General features: G+C 56.1%; 2 protein-coding genes across 27 annotated transcripts in view; one reads left to right on the top strand and one right to left on the bottom strand.

Moving 5' to 3' along the window:
• The window catches only part of GDPD4 (glycerophosphodiester phosphodiesterase domain containing 4), an 85,142-nt gene extending 83,981 nt beyond the window's left edge, over positions 1-1,161 (top strand). The window contains exons 17-18 of one of the 3 annotated variants that reach the window (XM_011544834.1): positions 405-419; positions 451-1,161. In XM_011544834.1, coding sequence (XP_011543136.1) covers positions 405-419; positions 451-782 — 347 coding nt within the window. In that variant the 3' untranslated portion in view covers positions 783-1,161. Of the gene's footprint in view, positions 1-404 lie in introns of all 3 variants that reach the window. The other 2 variants (NM_182833.3, XM_047426557.1) reach the window with 2 other exon arrangements.
• The window catches only part of MYO7A (myosin VIIA), an 86,996-nt gene continuing 64,531 nt past the window's right edge, over positions 2,478-24,942 (bottom strand). For 5 of the 24 annotated variants that reach the window (XM_047426970.1, XM_047426971.1, XM_017017778.2 and 2 more), the window contains 15 exons: positions 23,195-23,365; positions 20,121-20,238; positions 19,098-19,224; positions 17,901-18,070; positions 16,081-16,271; positions 15,295-15,419; positions 14,502-14,659; positions 13,490-13,643; positions 12,102-12,257; positions 11,517-11,622; positions 10,317-10,430; positions 9,202-9,289; positions 8,916-9,022; positions 6,382-6,567; positions 5,133-5,898 (listed from right to left, as the gene is read on the bottom strand). In XM_047426970.1, coding sequence (XP_047282926.1) covers positions 5,449-5,898; positions 6,382-6,567; positions 8,916-9,022; positions 9,202-9,289; positions 10,317-10,430; positions 11,517-11,622; positions 12,102-12,257; positions 13,490-13,643; positions 14,502-14,659; positions 15,295-15,419; positions 16,081-16,271; positions 17,901-18,070; positions 19,098-19,224; positions 20,121-20,238; positions 23,195-23,365 — 2,421 coding nt within the window. In that variant the 3' untranslated portion in view covers positions 5,133-5,448. Of the gene's footprint in view, positions 3,113-3,739; positions 3,860-4,682; positions 4,768-5,058; positions 5,106-5,132; positions 5,899-6,381; positions 6,568-8,915; positions 9,023-9,201; positions 9,290-10,316; positions 10,431-11,516; positions 11,623-12,101; positions 12,258-13,489; positions 13,644-14,501; positions 14,660-15,294; positions 15,420-16,080; positions 16,272-17,900; positions 18,185-19,097; positions 19,225-20,120; positions 20,239-23,194; positions 23,366-23,599; positions 23,688-24,942 lie in introns of those variants that run through there. The other 19 variants (XM_011545044.3, XM_011545046.3, XM_047426973.1 and 16 more) reach the window with 14 other exon arrangements.

The following is a 24,942-nucleotide window of genomic DNA, read 5'->3' as shown; positions in this document are numbered from 1 at the left end:
TGACAAACACTTCTGAGCACTGTATATGTAGTGGCAAACAAGACAAAGTCTCTGCCCTTTAAAAAGCCCTCATTTTAATTGAGGGAAGCCCTCATTTTTCTAAACTAATTTAATGGCTATGGAATACATGAACTTTAAGCAAATGTCAGTCTCTGCTTTCTGAGGACTTCCATGGTGAGCTAGAGCCTCATGCAGTAGTAGACTCTTAAGCCCCAGCCCCAGGCTGAATTGGAGGGCCATAATAAAGTTTGCACAAAGCCTGAGGTAGAGGGGAGAGCTTGGAGGAAAGAACCTGAAAGGGTAAGGGAGTGGCTAACATTTAAGAGATAACTTGAATTTCACACATGACTGACAGAGAGTGGAGAAGTGACATTTGAGGAATCTGTGTCTTTTCCATCCCACAGATACTCAGAGTGGAAGTAAGAATGAGGAAGATAGATAGATAGATAGATTTGCACATAGCCATGAAACCTCCTGTCCGAGTTGTGGAAGGTCCTTGGACTCTAGCAGCCCTCTACCCGGCTCTACCCAAGAGTGGAAAGGAACACCAAGGCCATTTCAATTTTGCAGCACCATCCAAGAAACTACTACCTATCAAGAATGCTGTCACACCTTTGAAGCCTGGCAAGCATGAGATTCAACCACCGATGCCCACCGTGGTCTTTGAACTCACCCAAGCACCCACCAGGCAGGCTACAAGTGAGGCTACCTTTCAAACTACATTGCCCACCCTGAAGGTGGATAAGCCAACCATGCCCTCCATAGAGGTCCCCTATCCTTAAATAAGAGACCTCTAAGAGATCCCCATGGCTGAATACTCCAAATAATCCTATGTCACAATATATTCCATTGCATCTGACATAGCCTTCTGTGTTTCCAAAGAAGAATTAGCCACATCTCCCCTGCTTCTTCCTCTCTCTGCCTAAGGGTGGTGATGGTGGGGAGTGGTTGATAAAGGCACACAGAAGGGCCACGGAGGCTCTCAGGGGAACCATTGTGCTCTCGCTATCAAGAATGCATCTCAAGGGGCTAGGCAAGGGGAAAACTGCTGTGTGTGGTCTTGGAACTGGTTGCTGTCAGGTTTATCTCATCCTAACACCTCCATAATATTTTCTGCTAAAGGAGTGACTGTGCATATAAGTAAAGGCAACCTCTCAGGAAGCCAGAGGTAGTGGTCTATTCTTTGGACCCCTCGTGATCAACCAGGGTGATGAAGGCTGGGGGATGGGGGCAATAGTGATGCCATCTGAGTGATCTCATTCTCTGGGCCACAGAATGAGAGGGGCATGGGTCAGGGAAAAAGATCTCATCCCCACCCCACGTTAACTGCTCTATGGTGCAGTGGGCTACTTCCTGATAGCTTGTGGTTTGCTGATTCCCCAGTAAGAGGGTGGGCACAATCCATGCACATTCAAGAGCTTTTGGCCTTGAGGGGAAACCAGAGCTTAGAACAAGTATCTGGAGCCCCTTCTGTCTGGCAGCGCAAAGTTAGAAGCAGTGAGTTGAGCTCTTCCCACTTACTTACACATCCTTTCTGGACCTGAGCCTCCTCTTCTTTATGATGGTGGTATAAGGCAGACTACCACAGCACCTTCCTTCCGGCTCAGATTTCTCCTGGGCTACCTGTGGAGCTGTGTCCTCCAACAGCCACGTTACCATCCCAGAAAGCAGGGCTCTCTGGTTTGAGGCCTCCATTTACACACACCAGCCAGTCCTACACTAACAAACAGCTAAGGAGATCAGGAATAGCACTCCTTGTGGGGTAGACAGACACACAGATGCTGATGACCCAGACACTGTAGTGTATGAAAAGAAGCAGGACCTGGCTCTGCTGAAGTATGGGACCTCGAGGGCAGATCACAAACCCTCCCCACAAGGGGATTCTCCACTATCAATCAATCAATCAATCACTTCTCTAGGTGCTCATCCCAGCCACAGTCTGAGGATGCCCCACCTCTAAGTCACACCTTCCCTGTCTGAAACCCCCACCCGCAGCCCTACTCCAGTCATGGCCAAACCTGGTTGTCCCATGCTGGTCACAAAGTAACATTTTACTGGCACCCACTGGACATGAAGATTTAACCCAAGGCAGCATTGTTCTTGGGGTTCTTGGACATGTCTTGATGAGCCAAGGTGTTTCTGGCAGGTGCAAGGGCCGCTGTGGCTCCACTGGCCCTAGTTACAGCCCAGAAGCTGATTCCTCCTCTAGACCCCCAGCTGCTCATGCACACTTGGTCCTCACCTCCCAGCCTGATGTCCAGCACTTCCTCCCAACCCACCCCAATCTCAGCTCTTCCCTTTAAGCCACTTAAGGCACATCTTGAGCTCAAGCTCCCCAACCCCCAAACCCAGACCAGCTTGGCCCCAGCAGGTTAAGACCAAAGAAGTCGTTATATAGGCTGCTCCCCTGCAAGGCCCTGTCCTGACCCCACATGCCCTTCCCTTCCACTTCCCCTCCCTGAGCAAAGACACTGTCGGGCCAGAGAATGAAACATGCTTTATGCCCTGAGGTGATCAGGGTAGACTTGAGCAGGGGCCCAGCATTCACACTGCAATATAGAAAAGTGGTCTGTCTCCCTCATCCCACCTGCAGATCCAGTCCCTTCGGTTTCAGAGTATTCAATGCACATTTGGTTGTTCAAAGTATGGAGAGCTAGATTGTCCTCTTGATTCCTCTATCCCAGTGGTACACAGAAAGTCAAAGGAAGTTGCATGGTGGGGCTGGTCTGAAACAGGAGACACATCTAAGGATCACAGGCTCTCACAACCGGGAAGGCCACAGCAAACTAGGATTAGACCAACCCAGGTGCCAGAGGGGTGGATGGAGGGAAGTTCTGCATCCCAGAGAGATGCCTCACTGGAAGAACATCAGAGGCCCAGTTGGTATAGTCAGTGGTGGCTGGCCAGCCCAGCCTCGCTGCCGGGATGGCATAAGTCTTCCCCAGCTGCAGGGGTAGCTGATGGGCCTGAACCCACTGCTGCCTCGAGAGCAGGCATGGAACCAGCACCTCCCCGTGACTGTTCACTTGCCGCTCCTGGAGCCCCGCTGTTTGCTCATGGCTGTGAGCATCTGGCTAATGTAGGAAGTCAGGAGGTCATCCATCTTGTAGCCCTGGAAGCAGGGGTGAGAAGATAAGCGAGCACACGGTGGGACAGGGCCAGCCACTCAGACCATAGCACAGCTCCCAGGAATCTGCAATGGGCAGAACCCAGGACAAAGGCAAATCCCTCCTACTCAGGGCTTATCTCCCATCTGCACAATTGAAGGGTTGAATTCATCCAGCCAGATGGCTAAGGTTCTACACTGTTATGACCCCACATTAAGCCCCTAGCTTGTGGGTCCCTCAAGTCACGGATCCCTCCCTCCAAGAGTGACCCTACTGGCTCTCAGTTGAGCTATGCCTTGGAAGTTTGAGCTTGGTCAAGGAGGTCTCATTGTTAATGGTTCCACTGTTGAACTCGGGGGGCTAAAGGGCTGTCACAGTGGGCCCGATCCCCAGATACTGAAGGCACTCAGACAACAGTTGTTGAACGAGGGATCTGTTCCTCAGCCCCAGATTAAGTCCCTTCCCCAGACCTAAGCTGAGCCTCAAACTGACCTGACCTTGGCCCCAGCATGACCCTTGCCCACGACCCCAGGCCCAGCCGCACACTACTGTGTTTGTTCCAGGCCCTGGGAGGCTGGCTACGCTGCAGGCAAGGCAGGGAGCCCACTAGGCCCAGCAGGATGCGCCCTCACCAGTGACGTCTCGCAGAGCAGTTTGCTCCCGCGCACCAAGTTCCCAATGGTGATGTGGAAGTAGGTGTTGCCGCTGCTCCAGTTGGAGATCTTGGTGAAGGGATGAGTGGTGAGGATATCCTGGGGGAGCAGAAAGGGCATAGAGAGGCACGGCCTGGGCCCTGTGGCCTCACTTGCCCACACATGCCCTCACAGAAGGCCTCAGGCCCTCAGAGGAGCCCATGGCCGGAGGGAAAAGCCAGCTCTGCCATCCAGCTGCGGTGGGAAGCAGGTGCCTCCCCCTCCACACCTTGGTTTGGACACCCAGGAAGTCTAGGAGGCTGTTGGGTACTTGGGGCCAGAACTCGGAAATTGGGAGACCTGAGGGAACTGACACCGTGGCCTGAATGAGATGGTCCAGGGAGAGTTTGAGGAGGGAGCCAAGAAGAAGACAGGGCAGAACCTTGGGAAACACGGTGTACAGGAGCAGGCACCAAAGGGTCCGGGAAGGAATGACCAAGACACAGAGGACAGCCAGGAATGCGTGATGCATGAAGCCAATGGAAAGATGGTGGTCACGAGCCCTCTTCACCACCTGTCCAGTCGGACCCTCTGGGTGTGCAGCTGGGCTGCTCTGGCCCAGAAACACAGATGCACGGTCACCCCTGCACAGCCAGCCCCATGACCTGCATGGGCAGAGCATCCAGTGATACTGAAAGGCCAAGTACTAAAGGGAGTTCACATTCCATAGGAAGGAGTTTGTTAGTAACTTCAGGAGAGCAATTTTGGTGGAGCAAGCGTTGGGTAAAGTCCTAGCAAACGCTGACAGCTTTTGAAGCCACGTGATGGGTGGATGAGTCTAGAGATAGATGGTGGCTAGGAGGGCTTGTGGGGTTCGTTCTGGGACCGTGTCTGTGGTTCAGGCAGAGAAGCCCGCCCCCACTTGCTGCCTTATCCCTGCTCACCTTCGTTTTGGGATCGATGAGGCTGACCCCATACTTGTTGATGGCAATTAGGAGGATCTCAGGGAAGTTTGGCTCCGTAGTTTGCTAGAAAAAAAGATGAGAAGGCATCAGATGGGGGCCCAGAGCAAGAAAAGCATTTGGGGACAGGAATGAAGCCTGGCCCCAGCTGGGATAAAGTCAGCCTCTCCTGTTGCCTATGTGGTACTGACGGCCCTGCCATGACCTATGGCTTCCACCTCCGCTGGGCCCTCAGTGCTGCCCCACATCCCTTCCTGGGTCCCCCAGGCCATCCTCTGCTTTGTCCTCCCTCTCAGCCCAAGGGCCTCCCATCTTTAAAAAGCCTCCTGGACCCTGCACCTGCCTCCAGCTACCTACCTGTTCTCCTCGCACAGCCAAGCTCCTCAAAAGGCCTCCCATCCTAGCTGTGTGATAAGACCATACGTATCCTCTCACACCAGCCTCCTCACCATACTCCTGCCTCTGTTGTGCCCCTCAGACCCCTCCTCCACCCGCAGCCTGAGAGGCTTTCTGGCCACGTCACCTGTGTTCAAAACCCTCCAAGGCAGGCCACCCCTGCAGGAAACCCAGCCTCTCACCTGCTTGCCAAGCTGCTGCTCTCCACAGCCCACTCTCGCCTCCTGCCCTCACTACTTGGATTTCCTTCCCAGACCTGAGTTCTCACACCTCCAGGCCTTTGTCTATGTGGGACCCCTGCCAGGAGCACTCTTTCCAGGGTCTGCCTGGAAAGCTCAGATATCACCTCCTCTAAGAGGCCTTCTCACACCCGGCAGAGCCTCCCGAGCTCTGCCACCTGGGCGAGGGCTCCCCAGTGTCAGAACACAGGCCATCCTCCATTACCCCAGCCTGTTTACATGTCTGCCTCCACTGCCAGGCTGAGCTTCTTCTGGTCCCTCTGTCCCCAGGACTTACCCCAGCTAAGACGCTAAGCTGGGACAAGGCTGAGGGTGCTGCCCTCCTTCCCTCACCAGGGCAGGTGTCCAAGGCCATGGCTCTTTCCCACAGTCCTAGGGAGGAGTCTCTGTGCTTTATCAATGCCCTGTTCCCCTCCTCCTCTGCTCTGAGAAGCCCATGGTGTACCTTCACCTCGAAGAAGGCTGAGCCAAAGGTGGGCCACTTGAAGATGAGCTTCAGGAAGGCCAGCTTGGCCTCCTCCTTGGACTTCCCTGCGTGCTTGTTGAAGTAGGCGACGATGGACTATGGGGACAGGGCGGTCAGGGCTGGGCTCAGTCCTGGGGACAGGCCTGCTCAGGGCAGGCCAGCTCAGAGCTCAGAGTCCTCCCCACACCACCCCTGCCCACTCCAGCCCCGTCTGCACCCTCAGGGCCAGGACTAGGACAGCAGACCTGGGGACTGTGAAGGGCTCTCCCCATATTTCAGCTAATGGACTCCCGACCTCCCTTCTCACCCCCAGGCAGGCAGACCAAAGGGTATCAAGGACAAACAGGTCACCATGGTAACCAGGACAGGATAAATGACTGCCAAGTGGCCACTGAGTCCTTGGCATGGAGGACTGAAGGATAAGGCAGGTGGAGGAACAAGGGTGGGCGGCCTCATCAAGTACAAGAACCACAAGATGCACCTCCCTGGGCTGCTGGCCAGTGTCTGCCCCCTTGGCCCCTGGGGTGCCCCGAGGCCCATTCAGGGCCCCACCATTCCCGATGCCCACCCCATGCTCACCCGCTTCCAGTCATCAGGTGAGACCTGCCGGATAAGGTCCTGGGGCACCAGCTCCCGCAGCAGCTTGGGGATGCTGGGGAAGTAGGACTTGTCCTCCTCGAACTTGACCCTGTAGATCAGCGCCCCCAGCTGCAGCACCTCCTCCCGCGTGCACTTGTGGTAGCCTCGGAGATACTTGGGCAACTCCTGTCAGAGACAGAGCAGGTCACAGGCGTGCAGGGACCTGGCAGAAGTGGGCTCCTTTCCCACCACACCAAGACCCCCAACGCCGGGGTCTACCACCTTACCCCGCACATGGGCCCACCCACCTCTCCAGCCTCAGCTGACACTGCTCCCCCAGGGGATACGGCACAGGACAGGGACAGAGCAAGTCTGCCTGCACAGACTCAGCAGTTGGCAGTTGGAGTGCATGGCCATGTCTGTTACCTCATGTCCCCCCATAACAGTCCAGTGAGATGAGCAGCCCCATTTCAAGATGAAGAAACTCAGAGTGACCAGCTGGCAACCCTGAGACTGTTCCATACCCCTCACCTCCTGGGCCCATCCTCCTCTGGAAGAGCCTCTCAGTCTGGCCTCCTTGCATTGGGTTCTCTTGAGACCAGCTGCTTTCATTAGCAGTAGCAGAGGCCCTCCCACCCCCTTGAACTTCCAGACCCAAAACCAGAGGAACTTAGGCTGGGGAATGGGCCCAGAGCAGAGATGAAGCCTCTGAAGGGCTGGCGCTGCCCACAGACTCCTAGAGCCTTATGGTCATCTTATACACAATTTGAAAGGTAGAGAAACTGAGGCTGGCCTGAGGATACATTGTCAGTCAGAGATCTGAGTCAATCATTATCCATCCTACCCACCCATCCATGTGGTTATGGGTCTATCTACCTACACATCTACCTCCATCCATCTCCCTATCTGTCCATCCATCTACCCACCCATCCACCCACTCACCTACCTAACTCACCAATTCACTTACCAATATCCACCCATCAATTCACTCAGCATTCATCCTCCCATCTCTATGTTCATTGAGCCACCAGTTTACCTACTCACCCATCTGTCAATCCAACAAGCATGCATTGAACATCTATGAGCCAGGCCCTTTAAGCAACAATGCCTACCCTCCCTACTTCCATGGAACTTGTAGTCTCAGGGCAAGGACAGACATTAAAAATCATACCAAACAGATATATAATGACAACCTTTGAAGGAATTGTCCACAGTGCTGTAAGAGAATATAACAAGGTGACCTAATCTAGGCTTGAGGACAGGGCAGACTTCCTTTAAGATAAAATGGCTGACTGACATCTAAAAGCTCAGTAGGTGAGGGAAGGAACTGAGGGAAGAGCATCCCAACATTACAAAGGCCCTGTGGCACACTTGAGAAGCGGAAACAATCCAGCTGAGCTGAAGGAGAGCCAGGTACAAGGCAAGGCAGCAGGAGCAGTTAGTGGCACCACCAGGCAGGGCCACGGCCAGGACGGGGGTTATGCCCTACGAGCAAGGGGAATCCACTGGGGGAATCTGGAAAGCAGGATGACCACCCTGTGGAGAAAGGATTGAAAGGACCAAAATGGATGAGGAGAACAGGGAGAAGGTCACTGCCTCCATTCTGGATCAGAGATGATGGTAGACTGACCCAGGTTGGGAAGGTGGTGATGGAGAGACATGGGGGACTTTAGAGATATCCAGGAGGTACAGTCATCAGGTAAGTGATTTGGGACGTGGGACAGGAGGAGCAGATGTCAAGGCTGACTCTGGGGGAACTGGTAGTCCAGGGGCCATGCACTCAGTGGGCAGCATGGGGTGGGTGGGGAGGGGCATGAGGAAAGGTAGATCCCAGGTTTGGATGAGGGCAGTCCTTCTCACTCCCAGGCCAGTGTCCTCTCTGCCACAGCAGCCACCGTCCCTGCCTCCTCTGCCCTTCCCAGCATCATGGTTTTTCTCCCACAGAATGGTAAGCAGGCTGAGCCCAGAAAAGAGCACCAACCTGCAGTCATGAAGACCTGGAATCAAACCCCAGTTCCATCAGCTGTGTGATCCTAATCACAGCACGCGGCCTGAGTCTCTTTGTCCCTCTGTCAAATGGGGACAACATGCCTGCTTCTTGGGGTTAGTTGGGAGGACAGAATGAGAGAAGAGTGCCAGACACATAATAGAGGCTCAACATGCAAGCTTCCCTCCCGGCTTCCTGCAGGTGCCTATGCTAGAAAATGTTTGCACAGAGGCCTTGGAATTACCCAGTTACAACAGCAGAATCTCGAAGTCAGAGGATAGCCCCGCACTGAAGGAGGGGCCTGAACAGGTAGGGATCGGAAGCTCAGAGGAGGAACTGTCAAGCCCCTAAGGGCTGAAGAATCAGAAGATACAAGGATCAGGGGTTGGGCCATCCCTTGGGGCTCCAGTGGTCTTGGCAGGAATCCCTTTGAGGCCAGGCTGGTACGGGCCCCACACCTGGCAAGGTCAGTGGGTCTCTGCTTTCAGGGCCAAAGTACAGCAACGCTAGCTGTGCACGAAGGCAACTAGAGTGCAGAGGTGCCCACCTGGTAATAGTGGAAGATGGAATCGGCCATGGGATCCTTCCCTGGCACCGTGGTGGTCCACAGCTTCTTCATGAAGAACACCTGGTAGGTGAGTGAGGGCACAATTCCTGCAGCACAGGGCAGTCGGTCACCCAGAGGGTCCCTGCACAGAGGAGTGCTCACGTCCCGAGCCCAGACCCAGAGGAGGCCCTCACTCAGGCCCGCCTAGGTGGGCCTCACGGCACAGCCCCGAGCCCACACTTCCCTGCTCTGGGCCTCAGATGATCCCAGGACCCGGCCTCATTACCGTCCTTGATGGGCCGAGCTTTCTTTATCCAGTCTGTCAAGTGTCGAACAAAGTCAAAGAAGAAGTCATTCTCAGGAACGCTGAGGACCTGGGGTCAGGGCCATCGAAGCACACTCAGTTTAAGCAACACTGCATTTTCTGACCTTCCCACCTAAGGCCTGTCTGGCAGCTGCTCCTTCTCAGGGAAGACTCCACTCCCAGCCGGAAGGGGTTTCTGTGTGTCAGCCCCACCCTGCCCCATGTGCCTGCTGAGTGTCCCCGGAAGAGCCCACTTCTTGCCGGGAGCGATGGTCATTCCATTCAGTGCCTGGGACACTGAACGCTGCCTTAGACTCAAGGGAAACTGGCCAAGAATGCGGCCCAGCCCCTGGCTTGGACATTCTCTGGCATCCATGTCCAGCTCCTCCTGCAGCTCTGGGCTCCCCTGGGTCTAGGACCTCATTGGGGTCACCTCTGGGTCCCAGCGTCTGGCACAGAGACAGGCATGAAGTGAGGAAACAGACACAGAGGCACACAGAGCCATCAGCAGGCAACAGGATGGGGCACCCAACTCGGTCAGGGAGGCCTTCCCGTGGAGGGGTCTTTAGCTGGGCCTGGAAGACTTCCAGGGACAGAGGTGCTGGGGGAGCGTGATGTGAAATGGTGGCAGGGGCGTGGGCTTTAGAGCCAGACCCACCTGGAGCTCAGTCCCTGCTGTGTGACCTTGGACAAGTTACCTAACCTCTCTGAGCCCTAGTTATGTGATCTATCAAGTGGGGATGATCACACATTCTTTCAAGGGTTAATTTGCCCCAGCATGGCAATTAAGGGCCAGTCAAAGCAAATATGGAAAGAACATGTGTGTTGGGGCAGGGTGAGGGTCTGGTGTTTTTAGAACACAGAGCACCTGGGCACATGCCCCTAAGAGGGTTTGAGCCATGTGCAGTGCCTCAGAAGAGAGAGAGCTGGGGGCAGCCACTCCATGTAAGGGGAGGCTGCAGGGATGGAAGAAGATGGCCAGATGCCAGTGCCCTCTTCCCCTCTCTCCCCCAGTTCCTCTCTCTTCCGTCTGCTGTCCGTAAGTTCCTATGGCCCCAGCAAATCTCCCACCTTGGCGAAGGTGGCAAAGGACCCACCTTGTCTGCAATTTTGACAAAGAGGCTGAATCCCTCTGAGGACTTGAGGAGCAGCCTGGTGGCGATGTTCTGGCAGAAGTCCTTGGCCTTGGTGCTGGACTCCACTTCGAAGGCCTGGGAGGGGCAGTGAGCACTGGGCTCCTGCAGGGCCTTTCCCGGGACCTGGTCCTCCCGGGCCCCTCTGGCTATGCCTCCTATACTGAGCCCCCTCCCGTGCCAGACACCCTCCTGTGGGCACAGAGCTGGGCATGGCATTTAACAAAAGGAAAGGGCTACTCCTGTCTGGGTCTTCCCAGGTCTCCTCCTCCCGACTCTCCAAGCAGAAGGTGGCCTTGGCGTCCAGAGTCCTGGGCCAGGGTGTACAAGCCTGAGTGACAGTGAGGGGTCCAGGGAGCACAGCAGGATGACTGGAAGGGTGATTAGAAGGAGGAGACTTGAGGTAGAGGAAAAGCAAACCCAAAAGCGGAGGGGAAAGCAGCCCGGACAGATGGGAGGGTTTGAGCGTCTGGGGAAGTTTAATGGCAGGAGAGATGTCTGGAGGGACAGGAAAGGATTTGAGGAAGTCTTTGGTCCTTGCAAATGAAATCCTGTTATGGCATTTCTGAGTCTCCAGCCTCAGACAAGTTTCATAAATGACTCTTCAAATGAAAAGCTTATCTGAATGAGACACTGTGTTGAGACAGGCAGGGGCTGGGGACCATGAGGGGCAGCGTGACTACAGGCATGACAGACAGGACCTTTGGCAGACAGGACCTGGATGGAGGGAACCTCAACCACCTCAGGTGGAGAGGGAGGAAGGGGTGTTGAGGTTCTGCCTGCAGGAAAGTGGGCTCAGTCGACAGGGGAGGTCTGGACCTGGGGGCCAGTGGGGCCCTACATCAGGGAGGTGCAAAGCCAGTGCAAAGCCAGCTCAGAGGGAGAAGCGCTTTTCTCCAAGGCAAGTCCTCCTCAGAGACAGGGAGGGAGGGGCGCCCTTCTGAAGGAAGCTGCTCCAGGAAGCAGGGGTTGGATCAGGAACCAAGGGCCCCTGACCTGGGGAGTCGATGGCCTTCGTCCTGAGCCCCGACTCCACTACGGGGCAGGAGGACGAGGCGGCAAATGTCAGGTGATGGGGGAGAGGCTTAAGGCCACCTTTGGTGTCCACCCAGGAAGCCCGGCCCTGTCCTGGGCACTGCAGACCTAGAAGCCGGTGACCCTCACCTCGTCAGTGTCATCAGGGAAGTAGACTTTGTGGAAAATCTGGGTGGTCTTGTGCTGGATGGCCTCCACCTCCACCAGGTGCGGAGGGTACTTCCGGGACCCGTTTCTGAAAAGGCAGCAGGGGCAGCAGGGGGCATGTGCGTGGGACTGTGGAGACCAGGGGACCGGGACACTTGGAGGCAGACAACCCCAGTTCTGATCCCCGCCTGCCACTTCCTATGATGTGACCGGCCACTGAGTCTCCCAGAGCCTTGAGCTCCTCATCTGTAAAATGGGACGATGGGTGTGGAGAGGCCCAGCAAAGTGAAGAACACAAGTGCCCTCGGAGAGTATGAAGTGGGCCCAGGTGTCTGTGCCCACCCGATAGCCTGGGAGCTCTGGGCTGAGCACTCCCGAGCAGCCGGACTCTCCAGCTGCATCCTGAGCAGCTGCAGGATCCGCACCTCCGTCTAGCTGGCAGTTGAGGTACCCCAGGGGTGGGCCCAACTGCTATGTGGTCCTCATCCCCAAGGGGCTCATCCCACAAGCCCCGCGTGGCCAGGAGCCCGCCCCAGTGTCTGTCCCTGCCCCTGGTGGCCGCTGTACCTCAGGGCTTTCTGGAGCCGTTGCAGGCAGTCGATGGCGAGTGGGCAGTGCTTTCGGGACTGCAGGAAGCGCTGCACGTGGGGCAGGAGGATGTTGCTGGGTGGGAAAAGGCCCGTGCACAGCCAGAGCAGCTCCCAACCCCGCTCCTCGCTGTACCTGCAGGAGGAGGCGTGGGCTCCAGCAGGGGCAGCTGCCATCGGGAGTCACAGGACCTGTGCACCCCCGGGTGAGGGGGCCATGTACCCCTCAGCTGCTCATCACAGCAGCACCGTCCCTCCTGACCTTTACCCTATCTCAGGACCCCTCACCCTACCTACAGACCCCTCTCCCTGACAGCCAGATGCAACTAGTGCTACCCAAAGTGTGCCTGGCCCACCGCGCCAGGCCACACACTGCTACCAGTCCACGTGGAGATAAGGGGCTTATGCCACAATGAAAAGCCACCGGGTTACCATGCACTCTGCTTCAGCTGAGGCTTTTTGTTTGTTTCCATAGCAAGACTTTCTCCATGAAGGAAGCAGTGTGATTTATATTTTCGCAGAAGCTCTTTAATTCACCTCTACTTTGAGTGGCAACGAGTTAGACCAGTCCCACCCCAGGCTCCTTCAGCCACCACTCTGAGCTTCTTGGGCCTGACAGTGGGAAGTTTGGAGGGCTTCTAGGAGGAGGTGGCATTTGAACTAGGCTTTGAAGGATGAAGCAAATTACGGCATGCAGAGAAGGGGCTGAAAAGTTTTCCTGGCTGTGGGCACAGTATGTACAAAGGTTTGGCACTGTCAAAAGAGCTGATGTGTAGTTTGAGGATGGATTTGTGGAAGAGATGTAGAGGGTGACACAGCTGGGGAGGAAGGCGGGGGGCTGGGTGTAAGGAGAGAGGGTGGAGCTTCTCTCAGACTCTGAGAGGAGCCTGTGCCTGACTTTCTACTCCTGTCTTGGGCTGTCCCAGCGGGAGGAGAAGGTGGCACCCTTTGGGCATTGGGACCAACACTCAAACCCATGAGAGTTTTCAGCCAGTGCTTCCAGCTGACAGCCGGCCCAGCCTGCACCAGGGAGGGGACACTTGACTGAGCTGGACCTGCAGGCAGACAGCAGGGTCTAGGCAGGGAAGGGGCATCCAGACGAGGCTCCAGCCAAACGTTAGGAGGAGCTGGGGCTGTTACCCTTAGAGGACAGACTCAAAGGAAGACATCCACCACCTCCCAGTTCCTGCTAGGCCCTCCTTGGGCGTTGGGGCCAAGCTAGGATGTGAGGGGGCCCATGAGCAGCTCCCGGCTCTGTGTGAGGAAGGACTGCATCCAGGCAGAGCCAGCAGCTGCCTCAGGAGGGTAAGAGCTGCCCGTCACAGCAGGTGAGGTCTGCCCCTCATCCGCCCACTGTGCCTGGCTCACCTGATGTGGTTGTCGGTCAGCTGCTTCAGGATCTGCACATATGCCTCGTCCTTCAGGGGCTCGGCTTTCAGGGGACCCTCAAAGATCTGGTCGGTGAGCTCGTTGACGGAGCGTGTCCTCTTGGACGGGTAGTCGCCCATGTACTTGAGCACAGCTGGGGACTGTCAAGGAAGGGCTTGTGCCGAATAGAGGGAGCACTGGCCTGGGGTCCGGAGGCCCCACTTCCCACAGGGCCTGCATCACCTGAAGCTGTGACCCTGGGCCCTCAGGCTGCACACTCACAAAATGGGCATGATCTGCCCCACCCTCTCTCCGCCTCCTCACAGTCACCAGCCCCACATCCCAAGCCCTCACAGCAGCTGGGATGGACTTCCCAGATGGTGAATCTGACCATGCCACCCCCTGCCCAGTGGTTCACCCTGGCCTTAGGACACGGCCCAAGCTTCCTCACAGGGCTTGGGAACCCTGCCTAAGCCCAGTCTTCCCATCCTGTCTGTGCTGAAGCCCCGGAGCCCTGGAACAGCCCTGCTCTGTGTGCCTCGGGGCCTTGCTGCTGCTCCCTCTCTCTGGAACACTCCCCCTCCCTCCCCTTTGCCTGGCTAAGTCGTACTTAGCCTTCAGGGCTCAGCCTAGATACCACTTCCTCCAGGAAGTCCTCTCTGCCCCCTCCAGGTCACATGGGTCAGGTCACAGTGCTGCCGGGTCCCATCTCAACATTGATCTGGATGTGTGTATGGTCCCATGAGGCCAGGGGCTGGGCTGGTCCCTGCTCTACCTGCATGCCTGGCCCAGCACAAGGCACCAAATCCACCTGGCACCCAAATGACAGGGTCAGAGAAAACAGTGGGCGAGGCAGCCCCTTGCATATCAAAAGGTGCAAGGGAGGGGGTACTCCATCAACCCTCCCCATGTGTGCCCGGGTCGCAGCAGGCCCTCAGGAGGAAGGCAGTGTGCAGACGAAGGCCCTGCCCGGTCCCTGGCTCCCCTGGGCACAGCCCAGTGGCACGGATATCAATGAAGGCCAGGCAGGCCTCCTGCGAGAGCTCCTCACTGCCCAGGAGCTTCTTGAGCAGCGCCTGCTTGAGCGGTTCCCGCGTGTGGCTCCACAGCCGGTCCTTGCCTCGGGCCTTGGACACCATGACACGGCTCAGCGTGTGCTTGGGTGGGGGCCTGCCGCAGCACAGGGACCGTCAGCAACGCCCCATCGCTGGCAGCCCCGGGGAGAAACCCCCAGGTTGTGAGACCCCCACCCCCACCCATCCCTGTGTCCAGAGGCTGAGAGTGGGCACCAGGCCCTGCTCTTCCCTGCCCTGCATGTGACCCGAGGCGAGTCACTGGCAGTCACTGGGCCTTTCTTTCTCAGCTGTGAAACCCCAGCGGCGAGAACACCACGGGCTGTGCCCCAGCCTCCCCCACCACCCTGCGCCCCCTGTAGAGCTCAGTGCACAACGCCTCCATCAGGAAGCTTCTCACTGCCCCCCACCCCCCGCCCCAGAAGCATCCTCATCACAGTGCTGGGCACGCCGAATCCCAGCTGCCTGCTTCCAGCCCGCATCCCCACCAGGACTCAGTCTCGAATGCCCAGCCTGGGGTGGGTGCAGTGACATCTCTTGAAGGAAGGAAGATAAGATGAGACACATAGGACGGGTCATCCTGGCAGACAGAAACAGCCCTCCAGCTCCCTCTGACCCAGGCCCTGCTCACAGGTGGGGGCTTCACAAAGCAGCCCCAGCACACGACCAGACAGTAGCGGAAGCCTGCAGCTCCTAGCCCTGTGGCTCCCATCCTTCCCCAGGAGGCATCACCTGAAGTAGTCATAGGAAAACTCCTCCAGCGTGTAGGGCTTGGCACGCACCTCGGGCTCCGCCGTTCGCAGCTGCAAGAGCCGGACAACGTCCTGCCTCTGATCGGGAGTCATGGTGACCAGGGCCTAGGGACCAAGAGACAGGGGGCTCAGGTCAGCTCTCTACCTGTGGCCACCAGGATCAACATGGTATACCCTGAAGCCTTCTGGACTCTGGGAGACTCTTCAGGGGTATGGACCCCATGCCCCATTCTGACCCTGGGAGCCCCGTTCCTCCTTGGGGTCTCTGAGGTCCCTGCTGCCTCCTTTGTGCTGAGCTCAGGGCCCTTCCCCAGGTGTCTGATCAGGTTGGGTCAGTCAGAAAGCCTGGACAAGGCAGCGGGACATGGTATGAGAGCTGCCTCGTCCACTGAGCCTGGCTCAGGAGCCACTAGGGAAGCTGGGCTGTGAGTCCTCAGAGCTGCTCTCAAGGGGGCTCCAGAAGAAGCAGGGCCCCCTTCCCAGCTGTGCCCCCACTGCCTGTTCAGACAGTGCGGGTGATACACCTCTCTCCAATCCCCACCCCCGGCCCCACCCCTTGGCAGTTCCTCATCTGATGCCATTTCTAGGCCCCTCCCCACCTGGCACAGGTTTGAGCACTGCCCCAACTTTAAATGTGTGTCCCATAAGATCCCAAGATCATCTTCACAGATGCACTAGACCGTTAACCTATTGTACAGCTGTGGGAAGTGGACAAAGAGGGGTCTAATGGCACCTCCCACCCATCTGCCACCCCCAGGCCACATACCACAATCTCCCGCGGTGGCATGGTGACAGTGGGCATGACGTACACACTGTCGGTGGGGAAGTCCCCACGCTGCTTGGTCCTCTCATTGATGCCGTTGGCCCAGCCCGAGTTCATGACCTGCTCGCCCGTGTCATGGTCCAGGATGATGAGGTCTCCCTTGGCAAAGCTGAGGAAGCCTGACTCCTCGCCTGCTGTAGAGCAGAGGTGAGTGGGACCATGGGGGCAGAGACAGGCTGAGTTGGAACATCTTCCCACAGAAGAACTGAGGTGTTATCACTCATGTCTGCCCACTTGCCACTCTGCCTCCACCTTGTCACAACTCTCCATACAGAGACCATCACCAGAGTGGGCTACTCTCCTGCTCAAAAGCCTTCCACGGCTCCTCATTGCCCTTGGGAGGAAGCCCCACACTCCTGGGCCTGTTGTGAGCGGGCCTCCCAGACTCCTTCCACCTCGCCTCTCCTCCCTCACTGTGCCTGTTCCCAGCCAAACCAAGCTGTTCGCAGTTCCCTGGACAGGCCAGCTTTCTCCCGCCTCTGTGCTGGCATCACGCTTAGCTCTCTGCCCCCTGTGCTCTGGTCACACGGGCTTCCTCCCTGGACCCCAGTCGGCATGGGGCCTCTCCTCTGGGCTCCTGTGGCTCTGGGCTTCCCTGCTCACTGCACTGTCACAGGCCTGTCACTGTCTTCTTCCCACCCCCCTCCCCACTGAGGACAGGGTGGGGTCCATTTCATCTTTGTCTTTCCCACACTTGGCCAGGGCCTCGGTAGCCTCAGGCAGAGTAGTTGTTACTGCTGTTATCACTTGAAGATGGTGGGTCTTTTGGGAACACTGAGGAGGACCCTGATCTAACTTGGAGAGCTGACAGGAGATGAGTATTGAAGAGCCAGAAGAAGGGAGGGAGAAGAGGTTCCCCACAGGCTACAGATTAAAGGCACAGGCTTCTGCTATTTGGTCTAGCTTCAGGGGAAAGATGGGAACAAGATCCTAGCAGCCTTGAGTGCCAAGGCCAAGGCCACGGGGCATGGTCTGTGATATGGTTTAGATATTTGTCCCCTCCAAATCTCTCTGTTGAAACTTGATCTCCCAGTGTTGGCAGTGGCCTAGTGTGAGGTGTTTGGGTCATGGGAGTGGGTCCCTCATGAACAGTGTGGTGCCGTGCTCACGGTAATGAGTGAGTTCTCACTCTATATAGTCTCTGTGAGAACTGATTGTTTAAAAAGAGCCTGGCACCCCCTGCTCTCTTCCTTCCTTCTGATGCAGGCACCCCTTCTCCTTCTGCCATGAGTGGAAGCTTCCTGGGGCCTTCATCAGAAGCAGATGCTGGTGCCATCTTTTTTCTCTTTGTTTCTTTTCTTTTTTTTTTTTAAGAGAGGAGGTCTCACTCTTGTCCAGGCTGGACTGCAGTGGCACAATCATGGCTCACTGCAGCCTCCACCTCCTGGACTCAAGTAATCCTTCTACCTCAGCCTCCTGAAGAGCTATGACTACAGGCACATGCCACCACACCCAGCTAATTTATTTAACCTTTTGTAGAGACGAGGGTCTCACTATGTTGCCCAGGCTGGTCTTGAACTCCTGGCCTCAAGTGATCCTCCCATCTCAGCCTCCCAAAGCTCTGGGATTGCAGGCATAAGCCACCGTGCCCAGCCAGCACCATGCTTCTTGTAGTGCCTGCAGAACTGTGAGCCAAATAAACCTCTTTTCTTCATAAATCTCCCAGCCTCCAGTGTTCCATTATAGCAACACAAATGGACTAAGACAGTCTGCATAACACCCTGACCCCCAGTGCCAGGCAGTCCATACCAGCAGCCACTCACCGGGGTTGGGGTTATCCTGCAGGGCCACAACATACTTAGATCTCTTCCGGAGCCCCTCTAGGAAGGTGACCACCAGGTCACGAATGTCCTCAGCATTGCTGGAGGTGAAGGTGTATTCGTCCCCCTTGATGGTGGCCAGCGTGAAGCTGGGGGCCGTCGTTTTCGCTCCCCTGCAGGACCAACACGGAGAACAGGGCCCCGCCGGGGTCAGTCCTGCCCAGCCTGAGTGAGGCGCAGCACAGCCAAGATCAGAGCAGCCCAGTGAGAGCCAGACACGGCACTCCCTGAAGGAGATCAAGGCCAGTTGAGTCAGTCATGCCCCAACCAGTGGGAGACGTGGCCCAGCTCAGACACATCTCAGGCTAAGTCAGAGCTGGCCTGGCCAGAGTCAGGCATGGCCCAGAGGGAGACCCACAGTGGCCCGGCCTACTTCTCCTTTGCCTGTCTAATTCCTACTCACCCTTTAAATCTCAACCTACATGCCACTTCCTCCAGGAAGTCCTCCCTGCCCTCCCACAGCCCTGATCATACCATGCTTTAAAATGGCCTATTCAATGTCTGTCTCCTCTCTTGACTGAAGATCCAAGAGGACAAGGACTATCTTGTCACTACTGCATCCTGTGTGCCTGGCATGTGTCTGGTCAGTGCTGGACACAGTCTGACTCCAGCCCATATCAGACACAACCCAAAGACACTGCTACAAGCCCCAGATGGTGGAGGAGGGAGCCACTGCACTGCTGGGAAAGCCAGTCAATCCCAGCAACCCACCCCACCATTCCACCTATGTGCACTGCACTTTGCAGTTTATAAAGAGCTCTCCCATCTATTATTGCATTCATTCCCCACCACTGTTATGCGAGAAAAGTATTAAGACTCCTGTTTTAGGAATGAAGACATAGAGTGAGTGCTACTCAGTCCCCTGAACCCCCAGGTCAAGCTCTTTTGTACACACTCACCTGCCCCTGCCTGTCCTGACAGCCCATTCCTGTCTCAGAACAGCCTTAATGTGCTGTAAAGCCCAAGCCCATCCCTCCACTAGGAGGTGCCAGAGGGGTCTGCACAGTGCGGCACAAACTGCCCAATCACGTGCAACCAGGCAGGCCACTTCATGCCTCTTCACTTCCTGTGACCCGCAGGGAAGCTCCAGCCCCTCTCCTTCCCCTCTGTCTGTCTGCATCTCCATGCGGGCCTCCTCACCTGCTGCTGGACACGGCCATGATCTCTGGGAAGGACAGCTCCAGAAGTACCTGCTCCTGCTCATCCACAAAGTACACACCCGTCCAGTTGACGGCCACGATGACGTCGTTCTTGGGGAGACTGGGGCCTGGGACGAGACCAAGGCACTGAGAGGCAGGCCTCCCACACCCAGGCCCAGCCCTTCTCAATCTCATAACGGCCAGGCAGGTGGCAATACACTGATTTCTATTTTATAGATATGGAAACTGAGGCTCAGAGAGCACAAACTCGCTACGTGCCAAAACCCAAAGTGCAGTAGGAAGAGAGTGTTCAATTGGGAAATTGGTTTGGGTCCCACTCCTGCCACTGGTCTTTGTGCAGCTTTGGACAAGCCCCTGCCCTGCACTAAGGCGGGATCTGGGGAGGGGTTGGACTGAGGCCCAGGGTTCCCTCCGGCCCTGGTGCTCGGTGGTTCTGTGAACAGCAGCATCAGCACAGGGCCTGGCACACAGCAGGTGCCCAGTAACGATGGCCCGAGGATGGCTGAGCCAGTGGCCTGTGTGGGTTTTTATCTGCTACTCTCGACTTCACAGAGTCGGCCCAGCAGGGCTGGCCCTGTCTGAACCCTGGGCCACCCTGTTGTATACATAGTATGTGCCTTAATGAATCAATCCTCACTCAGTTTTTCAATCCCGTGCACCACTGAGCACAGAAGATGTGCCATGGAGTCGCTACCGGGTGTTGGGGAGGCAGGACCCACTCAGCAGCATTGACCAGAGCAGACCAAGCATCCCGCAGGCAAGAGGTCCACTGACGGGGGCCCCTGGCTCAAGACGTTTCCCTCCCCTGCTGTGGGCTGGAGCTACAGAGCAAGGGACTGGGAGCATTGCAGGCTGTGGGGTACCTGAGAATTTGTAGGCTGTGGGCTGGAGCTACAGAGCAAGGGACTGGGAGCATTGCAGGCTGCGGGGTACCTGAGAATTTGTAGGCTGTGGGCTGGAGCTACAGAGCAAGGGACTGGGAGCATTGCAGGCTGCGGGGTACCTGAGAATTTGTAGGCTTCATAAAACCTGGAGAAGAGCAAGGGCCACTTGAAGCGGGCATAACTGACCACATCCTCTTTGACCTTCTGGGCATCAGTTCTCCTCTGGGCATAAATCCCCTGGAAGGAGAGAGGGACAGAGGGACAGAAGACAACATACGAGTGAGTTTGCTCTAAAAATCAGCTGCTGCTGCCTTCTAGCCAGGAGCAGCCTGGGGCTCCTGCACCTCCTGTGCATCGTGGCCTTGCCCTGCTCCCATCTGTCTGCAGCCACCCTGTCCCCACCTTTCTCATTCGTCAACATCGGCGAGCACTTTTGAGTGCCAGCTCTATGCAGGTGCTGGGGCCCAAAGTCAGAGAAAGCATAGCTGCCCCTCCAGGGAGTTCCCAGTTCAGCAGAGACAGGGAAGCAAGGATTCCAGGCAGAGCATGTGGGAGGCCCAAGGCCCTGGGGTCAGTAGGAGGCGTGTGCTGGTGCAGCAGAGGCGTGGGCAGGGCAGACGGGGAAGAGAGGGAATGGGGACACAGCGTGCGGAGCCAGGTCCTGGGGGACTGTGAGTGCAGCCACAACTGCAAGAAACTGATCTGGTGAATCTGGGAGTTAGAAAGATCAGTGTGTCAAGGGAGAACTGGAGCCTGGAGGTGAGGTGATCCGTGAGGGGTGCTGCTGTGCTCTTGGTAAGATACAAAAGCACCGGCATTGTGTTTCTCTAAAAATATTCCCCCAAGCCCTAGTGAGAACTCTGGGGTTCTGGGGTAGCATTGGAGGGGTCAGAGTGAAATCCTGGTTTTTATAGAATGTAGACACAGGCATAGGTAAGGGTGGATGTGTATGCCAGCTCACAGACGGCCCCATCTCCACCCATGAGAGCCCATGAGGGGTGCCATCCTGAGAGCGGTGAGAATTCAGAGGCAAAGAGCTCAATGTCACCAACCCAAGCTCAAATGACTCAGAGAAAATACATATGTAGGCAGAGAGACAAATCACTGAGCAAGTGTGGCTATCACCCAGTGAATCTGGGAAGTGAAGTGCACATAGCAGTCCTACTTTTTTGAACGTGCAATTTCTCCATAACTTTGAAATTATTTCAAAATAAGATGTTTTCAAAACACCTGTTATGGACTGAATTGTGTGCTTCCTTCCCCAACCTACCATATTTGCGTATTAAAGTCCTCACCCCCAGCAACTCAGAATGTAACCCTATTTGGAGATAAGCTCCTTTTTTTTTTTTTTGAGAAGGAGTCTTGCTCTTGTCCCCCAGGCTGGAGTGCAATGGCAGGATCTTGGCTCACTGCAACCTCCGCCTCCCGAGTTCAAGTGATTCTCCTGCCTCAGTCTCCGAGTAGCTAGGATCACAGGCACCCACCACCACGCCTGGTGAATTTTTGCATTTTTAGTAGAGACGGGGTTTTGCCATGTTGGCCAGGCTCGTCTCAAACTCCTGACCTCATGATCCGCCCGCCTTGGCCTCCCAAAGTGCTGGGATTACAGGCGTGAGCCACCGCGCCTGGCCCAGAGATAAGGTCTTTAAAGAGGTCACTAATGAGATATCTTGGGTGGGCTGTAATCCAATATGTCCCGTGCCCTTTTAAGAGCAGGATATTTGGACTCAGACGTGCATGTGCACACATCACTGTGTGGTGACAGATGGAGAAGACAGCCATCTGCAGGCCGAGAGGAGAAGCCTCAGGAGAAAGCCCCTGCTGACACCTTGATCTCGGAGCTCCAGGCTCCAGAACTAGAAGGAAATACATTTATTTCTGTTGTTGAAACTACCTAGTCTGTGGCACTTTGTTATGGCAGACCTAGAAAATGAACAATGCACCCTCCCACCCTACAAAAACTGTGATTCACAACTGTCCATTCTATGTGGGGCCTGGCCCAGGGCTCTGGGACAGACACTCTGAGGAGCTCCAGTCCAGGAGAGACCCAGCTCAGCTGTGGGCTCCAAAGGGCAGAAACCATGTCTGTCCCACAAAGGGCTGTGTCTCCAGGTCCTGGTATGGTGCCCAGCACATGACAAATGCCCAAAATAAAATGAATGCATAATAATAGCACCCCACCCAGGACGTACCATATGCCACAATGGCAGTGAGCCCCGAGGAGGCCCTCAGGGAGGTGGGGGTGGAGGCTGCAGCTGTTTGGGAGTTAGCTGGACAGGCTGCAGTGGCTGCCGGCATGTGAGGGCCAAGGGAGAGGAGGTGCCTGAGGATGAAGGGCAGGGCTCTCACTTGAGGGACAGAGGGGTGGCAGGGAGGAGACGCTCCTCCTCTGAAGTGGGGTTCGGGGGGGTTCGGGCCTCGGGGGAAGCAGGCTGGCGCAGGGAGCACTCAGGACTCAGGGAGAGGCAGAGGCTGGCGGGGAGCTGACCAGAGAAGGCACACGGTCAGGTGGAGGGTGGCACAGGGCTCCCGGGTGAGGACGGAGGCCACGAGGTGGAGGGGTGAGATCCGGGTCTGTGGTGCCCTCAGACTATGGAGCCCTCGACTTATGTACGGGGGCAATTCTCTTGCACAGCCAGGGCCATGGAGATGAGGCGGCCTTGGGTCCCCTACCAGCAGCCAGTGCTCCCACCTTCTCCCCATCTGGATACCCCTGCTCTACCTGGCCAGGCTCTTAGCTTGGGAGGGAACCACTCATGGCTGGTCATGGGCCTGGGCTCCAAGCAAGAGGGTCAAGGGGGCCTGTCCCTAAAGCTCCCCAGGCGGGAAGTTGGGCTGGAGTTCTTTTAGGAAAAAGGAGGTACAATTCCTAAAGCTCTGTCTAGCATCCACCGCCACTCCTGAGCTGCAGCTCTGGAAGCTATAACACCAATGAGGGGCTGGCACAAGACCAGGAAAGGGGCCCCAATACCCATGGCCCCACAGAGGCTGCAAGGTTAAGTCTGATTCCCTCTGTGTGCCTGGCACACAGATGGAAGGAGAATGAGTGAGCTGATGTCCAATGAAGGAAGGGCCACTGGAAGGTGCCATCCCATCCCCCGCAGCCCCAACAGAGAGGTTCAGATGAGGCCTGGGACCTCCTTGGTTGTTCAGGTCCACATCCCTTCTCTAGGACTCCTCTCAGCCCTTCTACCTTCTTGTGGGCGGCGATGGCCAGCTGGGCCCACTTCTCCAGCGTCTTCAGGGGCGTGATCTCGCGGTCGGGGATGTAGGTGGGCACGAGGTTCAGGAGGCGCTCCAGGATCATCTCAGAGCCATAGTCTACAAAGTACTGCTGGGAGGCCAGCTCAGCCAGGTCGTCCTCCTAGGTGGGGGGAGGCCTCGGTCATGCATTGGCCCAGGCCCCTCCAGGAAGCCCTTCCACACCACCAAAGGCTCCAGGCCCCTCTCCTGGCCCTGCCTCCTGTAGCTCTCAGAGCCTGGCCTTTGGGACCCAGGCTTCTCACTGATTCACCAGGGAATTCTTGTCTGCTCAGAGGAACCATGAGCTCCCCAAGGGCAGGGCCACACCCTCACCTTCTCCTGGATCCCTCTGGCACTGGCATGGAGCTGGACTCTGCCCAGGGGCACATGAAGTGATGCAAAGAAACAAGCCAGCCCATCGAGCAGCCACTGCACACTCAGCCCTGTGAGACAGCGACCAGAGCTGACAAACAGCAGAAGAGGAAGTGTCTGCCCTGGAGAATGGGAGACACCTAGGGTCTGCTGGCAGGGTCAGAGTGAGGGAAGTGCATCACTGTGACTGCCTCCATCACCATTACCACCGTTAAGCACTTGGGGGACAGTTAAAGTGGTTAACAGCTGGCAGGATCTACTGCAGAGGGTTCAGAGAGCCAAGTGGCCACTGGGCATTTGCCCCTTCTCTGCCTGGCCTGGTGCACAGCAGCCCCAGTGATGCCTACCTAGAGCTCCCCAGGGCTCCAGCAGCAAGGGCATAGAGAAAGGCTCTTGGGGGCCTTGGAGGCAATAGATATTTTCCAACCAGTTTGAAATATTTCAGAATTTTAGCAACTGATGTGGCTATACTAATGCACTCCGCCTGAATATTTGCTTACCACCAATACCACCATTATCATCACCACTATCACCAACAAAACTACCACCACTACCTCCACCATCACCACCATCACTGCCAACACTATCACCAACATCATTACTGCCTCCACCATCACCACCATCATCACTACCAACACTATGCCTCCACCATCACCATCATTATCACTACCAACAACACTGTCATCACCAACACCATCACTGCCTCCACCATCACCATCATTACCAACAACACTGTCATTGTCAACACCACCATCACTACCTTTACCATCACCACTATCATCACTACCCACAACACTGTCATCACCACCAACACCATCACTACCTCCACCATCACCACCACCACCACCATCACTAACATCATCCCTACCTCCAATATTACCATAGTCATCAGTACCAACAATACCTCATCACTAACATCACTACCTCCACCATCACCAACACCATCGCTACCTCCACGATCACCAACAGCATCGCTACCTCCACCATCACCAACAGCATCACTACCTCCACCATCACAAACAACTACCTCCACCATCACCAACACCATCACCACCTCCACCATCACCAACAACACCATCGCTACCTCCACCATCACCAACAGCATCACTACCTCCACCATCACAACTACCTCCACCATCACCAACACCATCACTACCTCCACCATCACAAACAACACCATCACTACCCTCCACCATCACCAACACCATCACTACCTCCTCCACCATCACCACCATCATCATTACCAACACCATCACTACCTCCACCATCACCACCAACCATCATCACTACCTCCACCAACGTTACTACCACCAACTATCCTCTTCA

Source organism: Homo sapiens, chromosome 11, assembly GCF_000001405.40.
Source record: "Homo sapiens chromosome 11, GRCh38.p14 Primary Assembly".
Classification (NCBI taxonomy): domain Eukaryota; kingdom Metazoa; phylum Chordata; class Mammalia; order Primates; family Hominidae; genus Homo; species Homo sapiens.
The sequence above is the reverse complement of the archived record's forward strand: the minus strand, read 5'-3'. Positions and strand labels throughout refer to the sequence as shown.